Here is a 20,017-nt window from a genome sequence, read left to right on the forward strand (position 1 = left end):
GATTAATTTTAGTGTATGTGCTTATACTAGAGAGAGAAAAAGAGAGAGGAAGAAAGAAATCTAGGTTGAATAAATACTTTCTGACATAAAGAAATTTTGAAATATGGAAATTATTATTGGAACTCCAGTGGCTCACAAGATAGTATTTAATTATTGATATGATAAGATCACTCAATATGCTGAATGTGAATTTTCAGAACAAAAGAGAAATGTTAATGGTGGTTTAATCTAAGAGATCCAATTTGTCAATCAATCTCCCATTGGACTTGTAGAGAAAACAGATGGCAACGATGATTCCCTCATTGCTAAACTGTCCTAATCAGGGCTAAGAAGAGGAGCAGGAATGGAAACTTGGGAAACCTGAGGTACAGAAAGCGGCATGAGCCTATTTCTTAGCAAACACAAGTTTGCCTTTTCTGGGAGACCTGAAATAAATGTTCATCCTGGTTCAAACTCCCATGGTGATCCTGACCTGAGCTTAGAGTTGCTACAAAAAAATTCACAAATTTTCAGCAGAAATGAAATAAGAATTTCAAAAGAGACTCCGAATTTGATGAGTAGAACTTACGCTTTGCATTTCTGTAACTGTTTTGGGAATTGCAAACCTCATGGTATTACTAAATTATCCATTCCCTATTCTACCAGTGTTGGTTTGTATTCTCAAGATATATTGATTGCCATGAAAGCAAACTAAAGCCACAAACAAACCTATCAACCTAGCAGTCCAACCTTCTCTGGACATTAAATTTATATTTTTAAAAAACTATCTAAAATTCAGAATAACTGCCACTAGGAGAGTGGAGAAATTTGGCAACAAATATAGCTTAACCACACACCACACAAATAACTTTTTTATTATAAGTAACTGAGAAGTTTAGCAATTAGTACATCTACTTAATTGCATTTTAAACTGTAACGTGTTTCTTGGCCCACCTTTCTGAGACATGTTTGTTGTTGAAAATAATAATAAGAATAGGGTTATTTATTTCCTGGCAATGTCCTCCAACTAGCTTAATGTTGAAATACTGTTTTTTTTGTTTGTTTGTTTGTTTGTTTTTGTTGTTGTTTTCTAAACTAATAGTGCAGGATCCCCCAGGTCTTTCAGAATCTAGCATTTCTTTTCCCCTTTCCGCAAGGATTCTGGCATCGAGATTTTTATGTTGATGATCCACCTGCTCCAAATGTGGCCTGGAGACTAGTGCTACTAGGGGAAAATTCATCCTCACACTCTGCTGTTGCCAATATCACAATCCAGGGCCTACTTAATACAGTAAAATGTCTCTTGCAACCCAACAACACTCCCAGGCATCTCAACACTAAACCTTACTTCACCATCATTGCACCCTTTGTCAAGTCAGTTTCCCTTTAGAAAAGCTGATGATCTTGTATTTATTTTACCTATTCTTTTTTGCAGCCCTTGTCTCCATGATGTTTGGCACTCAGACACATGGAACCTGGCAGGGTGTATCTCAAAGTCATGTCTCCATTTAGACCTTAAATTAGAACTTACAACAAATTTGGGGTGTTCCATTTCAGATGGTACCCAGTGAGGTTGAAGGTTGGATCGTATTGTTCAGAGATGGAGTGGATCTAACTAGGGCAATTAGCTGTCAGGCCCCAAATGTCCAGGTATATTTCCTTATGATTAAGCTCTTTAAGCAAATTGACCAATCTTTTCCCACCCTGCCAGCCCTTCAGGCTGCCAGACATAGAATGACATAGCTGAGATGGCTGAAAACATGAGCATATGTATTTATTTGTAATACTGTTGTTTTAATTATCCAGGTTGAGAATTAGACAGGCGGGAGACCCAAATGCAAAATGAAATTTTACCTTAAAAGATCGGTGTGGTGGCTCACGCCTGTAATCCCACCACTTTGGGAGGCTGATGTGGGTGGATCACTTGAGCCCAGGAATTTGAGACCAGCCTGGGCAACATGATGAGATCCTGTCTCCAAAAAAAGTTTTAAAAATTAGCCAGTTGTGGTGACACCTGCCTGTGGCCCTTCCTGCTTAGGAGGCTAAGGCAAGAGGATTACTGGAGCCCAGGATGTCAAGGCTGCAGTGAGCCATGTTCGCACCACCACAGCAATCCAGCCTGGAGTACAGAGCAAAACCCTGTCTCAGGGGGAAAAAAACTGGTAATACATTCTGAATTAAATAATTACTTTATATTTACTATGAAAGAGAAAATTTCAGATAATTACCAGAGAAACAAAAACTAAGGAAAAAAAAGAAAAGTGGCTCTTTAAATTTCCCTACAGACTAATTAAATTTATTTTTCTAGCTTTGCTTAATGGACGGATACCTTTGTGAATTTTGGATCTTTAAAATCTATCACCAGTATTCCCATAATTTATTGTTCTCCGTCATTAGATTGTAAACTTCATGAGGTCGAGCTCTTTATTTTTTCAAGTCCAAATCCCACACCATATATAGCCTAATATATTGCAGACAACAATCTCTAAATAAATGGTAAATTTTTGAGGTGAAATTTATTCTGGAGATTGATGATTGCAGCTACTTGATTTTGAGAGTTGTAGACATCTTATAACTGGTTTAAATGAGAACTAAACGATATATTCCAGAACGACTGAAACAGTTCTCTCTTATCCAATTGCATCCTTTCTGCCTTTCATCTTTCTATGAGAGTGTCTCACATTGCATTTAATCTTTACATTGGCTAAATTCTAACTAAACAAAAATTTCTTAAAACATAAATGAAAGTAAAGATTTTTTTCTTAGCAATGACCAACCCTCTCCCTAGACAGCCTACTTTTGGTATTTTGGGACTGATTGCTAGAACTTCCATGAAAAGATTAAATAATTTTTTTTTTTTTTTTTTTTTTTTGGTGAGATGGAGTCTCGCTGTGTCACCAGGCTGGAGTGCAGTGGCACCATCTTGGCTCACTGCAACCTCCACCTCCCAGGTTAAAGCGATTCTCCTACCCCAGCCTTCTGAGTTGCTGGGACTACAGGCACTCGCTTCCATGCCCAGCTAATTTTTGTATTTTTAGGAGAGACAGGGTTTCACCATTTTGGCCAGGATGGTCTCGATATCTTGACCTCATGATCTGCCTACCTTGGCTTCCCAAAGTGCTGGGATTACAAGCTTGAGCCACCACGCCTGCCCAATTAAAACAACATTTTTAAAATCCAGTCTAATCTCTTTATTTTTTAAATTAAGAGGAGGTTAAAATAACTAGTAAATTATATTTATTTATTTGTAATATTGTTGTTTTCATTATCCAGGTTGAAATTTTTAAAAATTAAAAATTAAAAATTTTATTTAAATTTTTTTATTTTTATTTTTAATTTTTATAGATGCATACTAGTTGCATATATTTATGGGGTACATATGGTATTTTGTTATAAGGATACAATCTGTAATGATTAAATCTGGGTAACTGGGATATTCATTACCTCAAACATTAATCATTTCTTCATGTTGGAAACATTCCTGGTTCTTACAAGATATAAAATTTGAGACATTCAGTTCTCATCTCTGCACAAATGGATCTGTTTTTTCTTTTTCCTATGTATACAACTAGCACTATAGAGCCGTTATCTAGGAACATCTGTTAGTTGCTTAAACCGGGTCTCCTAGAATAGTGTCTCTCAGTATTGTTATATCTGTGATCTGATTTTAGGAACTTGTTCTTTAGTCATTTATTCCCACCTCAATCCATAAGCAAAAAACACAAACAACAAAAATGGACTATAAACAATTATCTGCAATAAAAAATTATAAGTATAATTTAAATATCTGGACTAAGGAAAGGATAAATTAGAAGAACATTAGAAATTAACATAGCACAGTATAGGCCGGGATGTTGCACTATTTTTCCCAATACAACAGTAATCACCTTGAGGTCAGGGGCTATTGTAAATTTCACATTCTCCTCAGTATTTGACATAGAACCTACATATAATTTGGCACTCAATACCTACTTGTTTGTTTCACTTAGGCAAAAAGTAGAGCAGAAAGAAAATGTTTGCCTTATGTAGCATGAAACACTTTCTTTTTATGGGTGAGATCATGCCCATTTAAGAACCTTGACACAATTGCAAAGATCTAGGGAACTGTACCATTCTCAGGTTGCTTCACTTCCTGGCTGATTTTAAACACCTGGAGGAATGAACTATTGAAAATCCTTTGTGCTGTCCACAATTAAGTTTGGGGGCAGCCTCACAACTCTCAGCATGGATGCTAATTTCCAAATTTTAACCTGGGCCCTTAAGGGATGGAATTGGCTTACCTGATATCTCTTTAGAAGAAATGAACTTCAACGTGACATATATTCACTAATTATTATTATTTCTTAATTCTGTTAAAACATAAAAGATGAAAGGCTAAAATGTAATTCTAATTGGCAAAGGAATTTCATACCGGGAAGGCATCTCTTGATTAGCAGCTGTGTAGGCAGAGGGAGGGTTGGGGGTATGGAAATTTGGCTAAGAATTCACACAGAAAAGTGCTCGATGTGCTTCGAAATAGCTCAATCAGTACTCAGCGTGCTGTGAAAGCGCTCAACTGGTGCTCAACTTCCAGCATATTTAAATGAGTGGAACGCTTACTTTTTAAAAGTGCTCAATTGGGAGTGCTCAAGTTGTGGTACCTATTAGTTGAATGCTAATTAACTTTTCCTTTTCATATGGTTCACTTCTCTGTTAAGCAAACAGATAGTTTTGCTGTTCATGTTTTGAGGTTAAACCTGGACTTTCCATGAGACATTAAGGGATTTGTATTTATTTTCGAGAAGGAAATTATACCATCAACTATTCCATCAACTATAGCTTTTCCTTTGCATGCTCTTGCATGCACGTTCTCGCTCTCTCTCGGTCTCTCTCTCTCTCAGATTTTTATATTATACTCCTCACTATTTCTGAGCTTTATTGTTTTGTTTGAAGCCATTTTGAGAAAACTAAAAGAGCAGAGCTAGATGTGTTATTTGATCTGATATCTTTTATTCCTGATACATAGGTTTGGTTTTTCCCAAGTGTCTTTTCAATCATTTTGATAACACTGCTCTTCAGAAATAGTTTTGAGCTTTAATTTGAGTTTAAGAAACTGCATAGTTTTGTGCTATGTTTCTAAATGTCCACTTTCACCTTTGTTGAACTCATTACTATCTTACTTTTTTAAGTTGGAAAGATGAATCCTGTAATTTGGTACATAATAAAGACTTCATTAACTAATCTGTTTAAGATTGAATTTGAGCTATATGTTTTGAGAATGCACTTTGGGAAAAAATTACTATGACTTTCAATTATCTCACTATTGCCATGAATTAAGATGAAGATTTAAATGGATTTTTTTTTCTGTAACTTCAGAATTTCTTTCCTAGGCAGATGCTGGGCACATTGTACAGCATTGCACAACATGGCAGTTGTGTCCTATTTCCCCTAATTACCAACAGAAAGCTATGCACGGGTGAAGAAAGCCTTAGGAACATGCTCCTATAAATGGAGAAAAAAGAATGCCAAAGCTTTACCTGTCAAAATACAAACTGTCAAAGACTGTATTTCAGTTTAATTCTTGATCTTCTATAATGATGTGGCAAGCTGTTGTTCAAAGTAAAGGTTAAGGAATATTTAGGCAAATAGAAAAGTAGAATTCCATTTGCTTCACATAGCAACTGAAAAAGAAGAATGCATAGTCTCACTTTTAGGGTGAATAAAATGTAATTTTAATTAGCATCTAATGCAGGATTAATGCATTAGCCTCCTAACTCATCTCCCAGTTAAACACATTCTAAGACAGAAATGCCTTTCAATATATGTCATTGAAAGGCCACATTAGGACTTCTTAGGCTGGAAGTCATTGAAAATGTGGGTCATCTAATGCCCCTGTTCTGATTTAGGTTCTCCAAAAACCTTCTGATTTTAATTGGCTTCCATATAGGTCTACTGTGGAGAAAGAATAAGTGGGTCAGATGAATATTGTTTAGAAAATAAGTTAGTCATATTTCAGTATATATGAAAGACTTACAAATCTCACTGAAAATGAAGAAATTTGTACCATGGCTTTGAATTGCGATCTGAATTTTGTAAATGTGAATCTGAACTGAGTAATGGGATGGTGCTTAGTGTTCTCCTAATAGCAATTTTCTGAGTCTACAGTCCTAATGGCCTGACCTTGGATGGTGGTGAATTCACTAAGGTAATAACTATCACAACATGAAACCTCTTTAAAGAAAACTTGCTGGATATCAAAATTCTGTTTTAAATTTTTCTCTTTGAGTTTAAATTGAATTTCTGTGGTGTTTTCACAAAAGTGCTATGCTCAGTTTTATGAACATAATGAACATCATTTTTTTTTACCTTTATGCAAATATTCTCAGCCACTATTAAGGCATTTTAATGAAAATTAAAATTTGATTTTTTAGCAACTTGCAGTAGCTTATAATGATAATATTGAATCAGGAATATATTTTTTGCAGAACAAAATGAAGGAAGTTGGGTAGTAGAGGTCCCTTCACCAATTCTACCCAGTGGCTATAAGAAGCAATACTGGGTTATTGCTTTGCTGTAAAATAAGAGAGAAATGTATGCCTCGTTGCCCCTCGCTGTTTGGCGTATTGAAACTTGCCTATTAAATTACCCTTTACTGAGTTTCACCGTGCTCTCTCTGAAAATAAAAGCTAATTCAGCTTTCCTATATTTATGATAATGAAAAGTAATATCTAAAGTGGGGGTTTACTGTGCAATCATACATTCAAGTGATGTATTTACTTTCATAAACTAAAGAAGGTATTTAAGTGGTTTGCATTAGTTTTAAACAATTATCTTTTTGTATTCACTTGACCTAGTTAGATAATGATGTGCAAACAGATTTGATTTAATAACACATTAGTAAAATGTTCGGTGAAGTCTTAAAACAACTGCTTTTAATATTCCTGAACAATAGGAGGCTTTGGGTTCAGTCTCCTGTGAGGTGTGTGGTGCTTGTTTGCAATCAGCTCTGACATTTTCAGAGTCTTCTACTACAAAGAGATTCTATTTTGAAAACAATTATTAGGGAGCAGCTGAATGTGTATCCTCCATTGAGCACTAAGTTTTTGTTGTTTTCAGTTGTTGGTGGCCAAGATTAAGAAATGATTGAGAAAGCTTCCGTGTGTGCCATTTGATAGTTATACAAGATAATACTTTTTCACTTTTTAAAAATATCTTTCCCAAATTGGGATTTTGTAATGTATTAATATGCTAATGACTGCTATGACTGTTTGTGTCCTTCCTCTACTGTATGATCTGCTTTCTAGTTGAAAATTAATAAAGGCTCCCAACTGGTCCAAAGTTTTCATCAATATGAGCAGATGTTGCTATTGTTTGTTTGGCTGGAGCATTTACTTTGAAAGATATGATCTGAGTTTGAAAATAAACTAAGCCCTAGTCCTATTTTTGTACAGTGGCATCAGGAAAATATTTTGTTTTGTTTTTATTTCAGTAGAAAACCAAGAAGAGTTACCTTATCAATTTTAGGATGTGAATTTCAGAAAGAAGTCATGATGGTGTTTTGATTTTATTCTTATATCAAAATCCTGCCAACAATAACAACAAAATACTTATTATATGTGGATCAAATGACAATGAACTTACCACTGCTTTTTATAAACTGTGTGGTATGCTAAAATTTCCATCATTTTATCCATTTTGTAAAAATTTAACAATCTTGTAATACAAACTATATGCCACTATTCAAATTAATTACAGGTTCATTTAAACATCATAATAACCCCACAGGATAATTACTTTACTATTATTATGCCCATTGTATAGATAAATAAGCTAATGTCCAGGCGGTTGTATAGCCTTTCCAACGTCACACCACAGATTTTTAACTCAGGCAATCTGCCTCCGCAGGCTGTTCTTGTATCTGCTAAACTATCCTGTGTTAAAAATTCCAACAGTTATTGTGTGTGTGTGTGTGTGTGTGTGTGTGTGTGTGTGTGTGTGTGTGTTTAATTATCCTAAGAATGCTAACCTCTTGGATATTTTTAATAAGTCCTTGCTTTAATGGTAAGACAGTGGACTTTCTAGTAGTGATACTGTTATTCTTTGACTGAAAATGTGGCCAAAGCTTCTGAGGAACATATATCCAAAAGAAAGAGAGCCTTCCGAGGCAGCTGGATGACATGACAATCCTGAAGATCAATGAGATGAAAATGTCATACTGCCACATTCATTTCATTTAACCTTTAAGTTTAAAACTTTCAATGAAAAGGAATCACTGAAAATGTTAGCATATAGTGTAAATACTGACCAGTCTTGTTTATTATCTTACATAAAAATAATTTCAATAAATTGTATATAAATGTTATATATCCATTATATATGTAGGAGAAAATGAATTCTAAAGGAGAAACAATAGAAGAATCTGTGGTTGAGGCAAATTTATCTCTTTAAAGATACTTTATTGTTTAGAATCAACTATAGTACTAAGTGAATACGACTTAAATTTGTGATTTAAGGTGATTCCACAACTGACCAAGACATCAGGGAGATAAAAGGAACAATGATCAGTAGGGTATAAAATACTATCCAAATCTTAAAGGCAAGGTAACTTATTTCATCTTGTTACCAAAAATATTAAACTCTTGCTTTCCTTTAAGAATATATTCATAAGCAAGAAAAATGTGGCCTCTTCTATTGCATAGTTTATAATCTAAAGTTGTTGATTATGGCAGACAAAAATTAATATAGAAGTGTAAGTACATATAGAGAAAACAAAATATATAATTGTTTAAAATCTTGGACTGTATGTCAGTAGTTTAAAATTCTAAATGATGAAATTAAGCTTATAACTGTTACTCTTGTAGCCAGTTGATATTCGCCAAGTCATGCTTAACCCTTCTCAAATTTCAGTAGGAAATCAATATTTTGCAGTTTGCTCATCTTAAGCAGATGGTTATAGCAAAACCTCAGCTTGAGTTTATTTATCCATTGAACTTCTGGGGAAAAAATTAATGCAACATAAAATCAAATAAATATTTGAATAATTTTTATAGGCATTATTATGATTACTATGCAGGATGATGCCTTGCCCTTGAGAAATTTGCATTTTATATTAAGCAATCTTCCATTTTATACGACTGCTGCTTGAGATGACACAAATATATCACAAGGACCTAATATTTTAGGCCTAGAAGGAACCTATAGGACAGCTCTGTCAATATCATCTAAGCAGGTGACAAGCAATGTCATATCTATTTAGTGAAGCAAGTAAACAGAAAGAGGATTTCAAGATAGAAATAAAAGGTACAAGGATGCACAAATGAACCTTGTATGTGGTTTGAGATGGCAATAGGACATGCAATTTAGGCTATCTTGTACTGCTTTAATATTAATGGATATAAAGTATATTGTACGTGAAACAAATGAGTTTCATCTCCATGAAACTGAAAATATCATGGGGGATGTTTTAATTATATCATCTTCTGTAACATTTTATCATGAAATCAAAACATGTGGGACCACTATATTTTACATTTATCTACCTCAAGAGTGATGTTTCCAAAATTAAAACACAAATTTATTATAATTAGGAAATTAAGTGTTCTTTCAGAAACTCTTCATGTATTTTGTAATTCACATGAAGTTGAGCTTTTTGATTTTGAACATAAAAGTCTAGCAAGAATTTTTTCTTCGTTTTTTTTTTTTTTTTTTTTTTTTGAGATAGGGCCTAGCTCTGTCACCCGGGATGGAGTGCAGTGGTGCAATCTTGGCTTATTGCAACTTCCACCTCCCGTGCTCAAACCATCCTCTTACCTGAGCCCCCCAAGTAACTGAGGCTACAGGTGTATATCATCATGCCCTGCTAAGTTTTTTGTATTTTTGGTAGAGATGGGGTTTTACCATGTTGCCCAGGCTGGTCTTGAACTCCTGAGCTCCAGTGATCCACCTGTCTCGGCCTCCCAAAGTATTGGGATTACAAGTGTGAGCCAAGGCACTCAGCTGAATTTTTTTCTTAATTTAGTATAGGTATTTGAGTTTGTTTTTGTACCATATTTATGTTGTAATCTACACACCTAAGAATATTATGGCTACATGCTTATATTATGCCCCTTGTGCTCTATTACTTATGTTTACTACTTATGTTTGTACCACTAAAGCTTCATTAAATCTCTGTATTGCCCCATTACAGCATATCCAGCCAAAATATTTAATACATGAATTTGCCTCTTATACCCTAATCTAATTGCTACCCTGACTTCCTATTGTCAAATTGACTCATTGAATCTTGTCTTCAGATACTGCTGTAACTACTCCCTCAGTTAATTACACCTCCAGTCATTCAATTTTTCAGGCCAGACAACCGATAATCACCTTTTCTCATGCCTCACACAACTTCACTGTTCTCACAGTTCTCTTCCTATCTCTATTGCCATTGCCAACAGCTTTCTTAAAGTATTTGTGAGTCCCAAGTTTCTTTTGTGTGGCTTGTTACTTTAGGTTGCTAACTGCTGAAGTCTAACTTCCCTTCAAAACTCCTTCCTAAATAATGTCCAAAGAATCTTTCTAAAATGCAAGTAAGATTAGATCACTCCTTTACCTGAAATCGGGTCACAGTTGTTTATCATCTTTATGGTCATCTCCGTACTCCTCAGAGTGGCATACAAGTCCTTTCTACTTTCATCTCCTGCTATTCTTTCATTTACTCTAAACATTTTATAGTTCTCTGAGAGATTCTCTGCTTTCCTATTTATCCTTCAAGACTCAGGTTGTATAAATCAGGCTCCAATCAAAAACAGATTTCACACTCAAATTACAGTATCTCAAGAAGAGTATACCACAGTGAATCTGTTTACAAAAGTTTGGGCAGGGTGTAAGTAAGACATGAATGTTAATGCAATTATCTAGGTTAACACAAAAAGTAAGAGCTATTACAATCCTAAACCCAGAGGGGTGAGGGGAGACAGTGGTTATCTGAAACCAGAAGGAAAGACAGCTCTGTAGTAAAGGCTGACTGGAGAGGATCAGTGACCACAGGACATAGCAAATTTGCAGGCAGAGGGCCAGGGGAATCAATACACTGAACACATTATTCTCCCCATTGGCTGAACCTCCTGAAGTCAGAGGCTTCCATAGGGCCCACATAATCTGCCAGGTCAGGAAACCAGGGGGGATGATGGAGGTAGATCTGGAGAGCTAATAGAAAGTTTCCTAAAACAAATCTGTTTTAGATTCTCCCCAAGTCTAGTTAGAAACTTCCTCCTTTGCTTTTCCATAGTCCATACTGTCCTATTATAACACTTGTGTTTTATCGTAATCACCTTTTCTTGGTCTGTGTCTTTCTAGAGCACACCACGTCCTAAGGCCCCCGGAAGACTTTTCCCTTACCCTTCCATTCCAATAAACTTAAATCAGCATCAAATATTGTCTTTTATTTCACTGAGGCCCTAGACTGTACTTTTGAAACACACACACACACACACACACACACACATTCACACACAGACACACATAGCTGTAAATTATTGTAGTTACTTGCAGAAGATAAAATTGTACAACTCAATTATATAATGGGAAACTAAACATTATGAGAAACAGTTAATGTTATGAAAATGAAAGTATATAAAATATGTCTGGATCCTTCTTGGGGTGATCAAGAATGTTTGTAACAATATTCTAAGTAATTGCACATAGCATATAAAGGAAGAAAACCAAGCAACATGCCGTTGCTCTCTAATAAAGTATAAACTTGAAATAGATATATGCAAACAAAAAATATGAAACAGAAGTTACAAAAAAAGTATCTTGGATGTGCCAAGTAAGGGTTTGATCGTCTCTGCCATCCCTTAATCTCCATTGGAAACCATATCATTTTCTTTCTTTTCTTTTCTTTTTTTTTTTTTTTTGAGACTGAGTCTCACTCTGTCACCCAGGCTCGAGTGCAGTGGCAGGACCACCGCTCACTGCAAGCTACGCCTCCCGGGTTCACGCCATTCTCCTGCCTCAGCCTCCTGAGTAGCTGGGACTACAGGCGCCCACCACTACGCCTGGCTAATTTTTTGTATTTTTAGTAGAGACGGGGTTTCACCGTGTTAGCCCGGATGGTCTCTTTCTCCTGACCTCCTGATCCGCCTGCCTAGGCCTCCCAAAGTGCTGGGATTACAGGCGTGAGCCACCGCGCCCGGCTGGAATCCGTGTCATTTTTTTATGGACAGTTGGCATTTGCTCAATTTTATGTAAATGCAATAAAAATACAACTTCATCTATTCCTCCAATGTATACAGTACCCCTTACCTCACGTACCCTCTGACATAGAAATTCTGAAGTTGCCATTAGAAATGTTACTGATACATTACAAATAAGTCAAGGATACAGTGACAATAAATATGATAGAAATTTGTATAGTCACCTTAACTTAGTGTTATAAAATATGTCTTCTCTGATACTAACTTTGTAGCATGTTAAGCAAATTTCAAAATATTGAAAGGTCTATGCCAATCAATACATTTCACATAAATACAGCAGTATTATGCTCTAGGTTCCCAGAATACATAAAACTTAATGGCTAGACATGTTAGAAAATATTAAGGTAATGCTGTTTTTGCACTGGATCTCATTCCTATCCTTGAGATGTCATATGTTTCAGTAAGGTCACAGAAAAACCTCACCTCAAATATAAGATTATATCCATGTCACATTTTGACAAACTGTTTTAGTCTCTGGAGAACTGTCTGCCTTCTTTATCTACAAAGTTTCAGTACTTCTGCTGGAGAAAATGCATTTAAGTTTTCCCATTTTCCATAATTCAGTTTATTTTAATATAAAGTTTTGTTTTATATTCAGGTTACTATATTGATATGTTTCTGTTATTTATTACTATTTTGTAGTTCTATTTATTTTGTGTTATTATTTCTTATCATTATATATTTTAGTTTTATTTTCCATTGTGTTTAATTAATAGGTATCTGAGGCTGATTTTAGATTTAAAATTACATATGTAGTCTTTCTCCCTTGTTTAACCTTGAGATAAGATTTATTTAAACAAATTGCATATGAGCTACTCCTAAACCAAATAAGTTTAGTTTTGTGCTATAACCTGGAAGCTTGATAAAGTGGATCCTAGATCCTGATATCCTGGCAGTTACCTTGACTCAAAAAGTGAGGAAGTAAGACCCAGCATTCAGTTTCAAGCCTCTGAGATATCATCATGAAAGAAGAAACAAAAGCAATGATGTCTGTATACTTAAAATAGAAAACTAAGGTATACAGGGTATTCTTTAAAGCTTTTGAAAAAAAAAGTCTTTAAATTATGTGTTGAAATGATTACAAAAATTTATAACCACTACAGAGAGCTGCCAAGTTCATTTAAGATTGATTAAAACAAACTAACTTATAGTCTGGATCTATTTATCTGAGGAAATACATTTTTACCTGACACTGGACACATTTAAATTACTGATAGTTTTAGCTTTGGAACATGGCTTGTGAAAGCTCCTGTCATAACAGAAAATTGTGCAATAGGGATTTAACAGGTTTTTTTGTAGCATTGTGCTATAGCATGAATATTGTTTGTGCTTATTACAAGTTTCTGGTGATCTTGTTTGACTTTCCTACACATAACAAGGGATTTGGACAGTTGGAAAATCTGTACAAATAGTACCACTTGTGGTTTAATATTTAAAACAAAATACTGTGGCTGCAGTGTGCTGGCTTATGCCTGTAATCCCAGCACTGTGGGCAGCCAGACCAGCCTGGGAAACATAGCAAAAACTTATCTCTACAAAAATACAAAAATTAGCTGAGCATGGTGGTGTGTGCCTGTGGTCTCAGCCACCCAGGAGGCTGAGGCATGAGGATGGCTTGAGCTTGGAGGTGGAGATTGCAGTGAGCCAAGATGGTGCCACTGCACTACAGCCTGGTTGATGGAGCGGGACCCTATCTCAAACAAACAAACAAAAAACCTACTTCTCTTTTAATTTTCCCTATTGTTTCATTGAGAGATGTATTAATCTATCTGGGCTGCTATCATGAAGTGCCCAGCTTATAAACAACAGAAGTTTATTTCTCTCATTTATGGATGCTAGGAGGTCCAAGATCAAGGTGCTGGAAGAAATGGTGTCTGGTGAGGCCCTGCTTCCTCAGTGGTCATCTTTTTGCTGTCACCTCATATGGCAGACGGGGTGAACAAGTTCTCTGGAGTCTCTCTTATAAGTACACTACACCAAATAATGAGGCATCTACCCTCATGATGTAATAACCTTCCAAAGTTTCTGTCTCCTAATATTATCACCTAGAGGGTTAGAATTTCACCATAGGAATTGGAGATGACACAAACCCTCAGATCATAGAAAGTTATTTTTAATTGCCAAGGTAACAATTATAACACAGTCATTTCTGGTCGATATGTACTTGCATAAACAAGACTTATTTTTCATGCTATTCAACCACGTCAGAATAAAGAAACAGACTGAAAGGACCGTGAGGTTTCTAAACAACGACTGTGGTTGCCACATGTGTATCAAGAACTGTGAAGGTTCAATGTGCAAGCTGAAAAGTTTGCTGGATACTGTTTAATAAACAAAGGAAGAAGACATACGTCTCCTAGGCTGGAGAGAGAGAATTTTATTTTTCATAGCAGTGGCAGCATCCATAGTATCAGCATTCACGTTGGTTTCACATATTTCCCAGGTCACACAAGAGACAGGGTGGAGGACCCAAATGGATACACAATAGGTTTGCAACACAGTTGAGAAATCTGTGATTAGGAAACTCAAATCTTTTATAATAGGCTGCAAGAAATCCCATGTCTTGCCCCAGAAGGAGGCAGTAAGCAAATCTGCCTTTTGCTGTAGAAGTTTATCTAAGAAAATATTAGCTGAATTAATTCTATATATTTTCTTATCAGATTGCATTAGAAAAAAATGTTCTGCAACTATAAATATATGTTAAAACCACTTGTTGAAACAGGACTTAAGGACACACTACTTAGATTAAATTATTTTGCATTACAACCAAATATTTTACTCTTAATCACCATGTTCCTTGTTAATTATTTCATAAATATAACAGTTTCCATGAAAATCAAACCATCCTAGTGACAGTCCTGAATATGAATATGCTCTGTTGATGCCACTTATGTTATCATCTTTATATAGGAGGCCAATATGGCATGGAATAAAGGAGATAAAACTATACATATTCAATAAAATTGTAGAAAAGAAGTTTCCTACCATGTTGCATGTGCATGTAAATCTTAGTTGCTTCTTCAGCCAAGAAGTTTGAATTTTGATGAAGGTGAAAATTTGGTATAAGATTGATTATTACACTATTACATTCCACTTTAGAATAGTATATCTAACTTCTTAATTTATAAAAAAATCACATATATCATTAAACTCAACTGTTTTATTTAATGACTAAATTTTCATTTATTTAAGACTTGAAACAAGTATGAAGACTTTCTAGGAGCAATTATGACCTACCTTGACTGCTCTAAGAGTTTTCAGAGGATTATTCTAACATCTAAACACAACATAGATATCTGTGAGGGGAGCAAAATACATTTCGTTTGCCTATCTTTTATTTGCATTGCATATGAGCCATGTTCTAAGTGATTTTTTTTTCTATATAGATTTTAAGAAGTTTTTCTTAAAGGACATTACAAATTTCTAAGCCACTCACTCCAGCACAGTTCTTAGGAATGTAATTATGAACAACTAAAGACAAACGTTATAATGTAATACATTTCCTCTAATGCAAAATTAGCATGCATCTGAATTACTTGGAGGGTTGGGCAAAACATGGATTTCTGGGCCGCACCCCAGTTTCTCATTCAGTCATGCCAGATAATTTACATTTCTAACAAGTTGCCAGGAGGTGCTCATATTGCTGGTCTAGGGACCACACTTTGCGAACAACTATTTTAAATAAAAGAGACTCAAGATGATGGAGATGAAGCTGATGAAGATGACAGTAGCAGCCAACACAAACTAAGTGCTGTCCTGTTACTTGTCAGTTTGCTAAATTCTTTATGTGCATAAGCTCATTATGTGTTGTGATTATTTTTAAGGAGAAAACTGAAGCTCAAAGAGGTTAGACAAATTGCCCAAGATCACAAAATTGAAAAGCATCAGAGCTAGTTTTTAAGCTGAGGCTTTTCTGACACCAAATCCTGTGCTTAACAAAGAATAGAAATAACTGCAGTCCATAAGGGCCTTTGGCTCTACAAAGCAGGTGGGAGAGATGCACTGTGATTCAGGAGAGCCAGGCACAACCTGTGGTTCCTAGTAAGGGGTGAGAATTTTCATGTGTAGGAATTAGCCCTTGAAATCTAAGTACTTGAATAAGTCAGAAATAGCCCAAAGTCATAAAAAGCCCAGAAGCAAAACATAAATGACAGGATAATCACCAAATCAGGTCAGAACCAGGGTTTCTTCATAGTTTTAATATTTAAAAATAAATGGCTTCTGTTGCTTAAACAACAATATTTCTTCATCAAAATACTGGAGACTGAAATGGTGTACTTTCTGTGCTTTGTGCCCAATAAAAGTCCAAAATGATACATTTGCTGGAGTACCCATAAAAAGCAACATTAATCATCTGCTTGCAGAGACAAGGGCAAAGACAAAGTATCAGGGAACAGTGGGATCTTTGTGGATGAGCCTTAAAATCTGAACCACAGGCCAAAACAAAACCATCTACCTTTACCTTTACCGACCTGATTTCTGTTCCTTGATCATACCAAGCTTGTTTCTCACATATGGACATTACAATAGCCGTTTTCTCTTCCCAGAATGCTTTTTATTTTAGTTTTTACCTGGCTGGCTCCTTCTTGCTATTCAGGTCTTAAAAGTTGCAGTCTCAGAGAGACCCATCTCTGATCACCCACACTTTGTAGCGCTTATCACAGCATGTTGCACCATATATTTTAGTTACTTATTTGTTAATTATCTTTCCCTCCAACCACTACAATGAAAACTCTGTTACGAAGGGAATTTTTGCCTGCTTTTTACTACTATGTTTCTAGCACGTAGAGCAGTGTCTAACACATACTAGGTATTCAGTAATTATTTTTTTGACTAGATAAATGAAGGAGGGAAGAAAAAAAGAAAACAGACATTGTAGTAGTTGAACTCTTAATTTGTTTTCATTTTAATTATTTTTTATTTATTTATTTGTATTTGTATTTATTTATTTATTTATTTTTTTTTGAGACAGTTTCACTCTTGTCACCCAAGCTGGATTGCAATGGTGTGATCTGAGCTCACTGCAACCTCCATCTCCCAAGTTCAAGTTCTCCAGCCTCAGCCTCCTGAGTAGCTGGAATTACAGGTGCCTGACACCCCACCCAGCTAGTTTTGTATTTCTTTTTTCCTTTTTTTTTTTTTTTTTTTTTTTTTTTTTTTAGTAGAGATGGCGTTTCACCATGTTGGCCAGGCTTGTCTCGAACTCCTGACCTCAAGTGAACTGGCCGCCTGGACCTCTCAAAATTGTGTGATTACAGGTGTGAACCACAGCCCACAGCACCTGGTCTACTCTTAATGGATGATTCACAGGGTTTTCATGCCCCAAATTTGTGCATGCACACACACACATACACACACACACACACACACACTTTATAGTCTGTAGTGATGATCGAATGTCATGCAGTTATGTAATTATATTCTCTCTAGTTTTTGCCCCTCCTCTTTTCCCTCAATGCTTAAAATAGACAAAGGTATATATATACACAATATCTTTGAAAACTGCAAGCAAATTCCCAGTTCAAAATTTGTTCAATTTTTAAATTAGATTAAATCACCCTTGAAAGATAATTCACTCAGCTCCAGGAATAGTATGAATTATGTAGAAGGCCTAAGACTAAATATTTTAATTCCACATTTCCCCTATGTCAGGGAAACCACCTAAAACCCAACCGCATATTTATATTCTTGTAATTAATTGCAGACTAATTTTATTCATGAAGTTATATTTGAACTAATAGTGACATCGAGAGTTAATTCTATTTGGCAGTGTATTTGGACTTTCATTTGGTATAGAATTTAAATCAAGGGATTTGAAAATAAAGTTAAGAGGGCAATTCAATTTTGATAAAAATTGAGTCAATGATGAAAGCGCATCCTGTAAGCTCTAATGTAAACCCAGTCTTTGAAAAATATCATGCATGGTACTTGGAAATTCTTTGAGGAATGAAAGCTTTTCATGTGTGATCTTCTTAAAATGGAATTTACGTTCAAATTCAATGGACCCATGTGCACAAAGAGTGATAATGCATCTGAAGAGTCTTTCTGGATTCTCTGTGTGAGTGCACTTGCATGTGAAGAGAGAAAGGAGGAGAGAGAGAGAGAGAAAGAGAGAAAGAAAGAAGGAAAGAAGAGGGAAGGGAGAGGTTGTTAAAGGAAAGAGCCACTACAGGTACCTAAGTGATTTAAAAAAAAAAAAATCTTATACTTATAAATATTGTGCACTTAGTGTGTAAATAAAATGTTTTGTAATGCTTGTTCAGCTACTATGCTTTTCATTGGGATTAACTAGACATCATTCAATATGTTTCATTTGTGGCTTTTAACTCATTTATTTGCTCACTTAAAAAATATTGAGTATTTACCATATGCTAGTTTCTAATCTGGGTATTGGGAATGCAGCTAAGTATTTTACTTCCTTATTCTTACATAATTTTCTAAACTGAAAAGAAGGGAAACTTGTTTTTGAATGTAGAATGATTGAAAATATAATGAGATTGAATACAAATGTATTCCGTAAAGGTCTATGCCATATTTTTTGGTTTAACATTTTACTGTAATGAAATTTGATGAATTTTTTAACGTACTTATAAGAGATCAAGTGGAATTTTTTCAGTAATTTTGAATACCAATCTTAGAATAAAGAATAGACTTTTAAGTAAAAGTAGTCAAAGGTTACAGGCATTTATATTCAAACCTACAGTGTTATCAGTGCAGCAGAGAGAATCAAAAAACAAACAAAAATCCTATACTTCTTATTTGCAGGGAAAAAAATCAACAAGTGAGTTGTAGTCTTAATGCCTACCATTCTAGAAAAATTACTAATGGATGATCAAATATTTTCTCTTTGACCTACATGATACTTGACACTTTGTATGAGAAAAATGTGTACTCAGATTAAATATAATCTCAAAGCAATCCTTTTAATTTCAAACTTTGGAAAAGAAAATGTACTTTTTTTTGAAATTTAATACTCATGGAAAAACAGAAATAGTGAAACTAGAAATGTGACACAATGCTGATCACTTCTTGAAGTACTGCTTCTAGGATGTGTGAGGAGGGAAGAGAGGACATTAAGGCTGCTTGCTTCATGCTGTGAGCCATTAGCTGATTGCTCCAGGCTTCACCACCAACAGCAGAACAGAAGGGGAGGTGGCCCTGATGAAAGGGAGGAAAGAAAAAAGACAGATTTATTGTCTTCTCTATAGGATCTTATTTCCATTCTACTCCAGTGCTCTTTTCTAAGACATTAAATAAGTACTTAACCCTTTACTATTTACACTCCTTATGATCTGAAACACTGGGAAGGTATTTATATTTTGCCTTGAAACATCATTTTAAAATGTTTTACTTTTAAATGTTTATTGAGTTGTACTTACAAATGTTAATTATAGCTTCCTAAAGACAGGAATCCAGGAAACTGGATTTCTCTATAGAAGGATTATGTAAATTTGGTTCACTACAGGATGCATTACTAGCATTTTGAAAATGCCTGGTACATAGCAAGTGCTTCACAGGTGTTACCTGAATGAATAAGTGGTTGCTATCTTTTGTTTGTGACAAAATTGAATAATATGGAAGGATAGAAGCCATGATGTGTGGCATACCAGGCAGCGTACAAAGTTAAGGAGTGTAATTGTTTAATGCCTAATGCTTAAATGACACTGACCATGATTAAAACCCAGCTGACATCTGCCATATGCCTCTGAATAAGTGAGTTAACTTTTCTAAATATGTTTTCTCAAATGCAAAGTAGAAATAACACTACTGCCAACTTCATAAATGGCACACCAATAACACTCATACACTGAGACCTTAGT

The 20,017-nt window shown here is 35.2% G+C and overlaps 1 protein-coding gene across 12 annotated transcripts in view, besides 1 other annotated feature; it reads left to right on the forward strand.

The window, feature by feature from the left end:
• The window catches only part of GRID2 (glutamate ionotropic receptor delta type subunit 2), a 1,506,491-nt gene that overhangs the window by 824,353 nt on the left and 662,121 nt on the right, over positions 1-20,017 (forward strand). The window lies entirely within an intron of this gene.
• Positions 18,866-19,427: an enhancer, noted in NCBI's record as "OCT4-NANOG hESC enhancer chr4:94068335-94068896 (GRCh37/hg19 assembly coordinates)". NCBI's record gives its function as "activates a minimal SCP1, AML or CMV promoter by ChIP-STARR-seq in naive H9 embryonic stem cells {active_cell/tissue: H9 hESC(naive)}" and the evidence as "EXISTENCE:reporter gene assay evidence [ECO:0000049][PMID:30033119]".

Source organism: Homo sapiens, chromosome 4 (assembly GCF_000001405.40).
Source record: "Homo sapiens chromosome 4, GRCh38.p14 Primary Assembly".
NCBI lineage: Eukaryota > Metazoa > Chordata > Mammalia > Primates > Hominidae > Homo > Homo sapiens.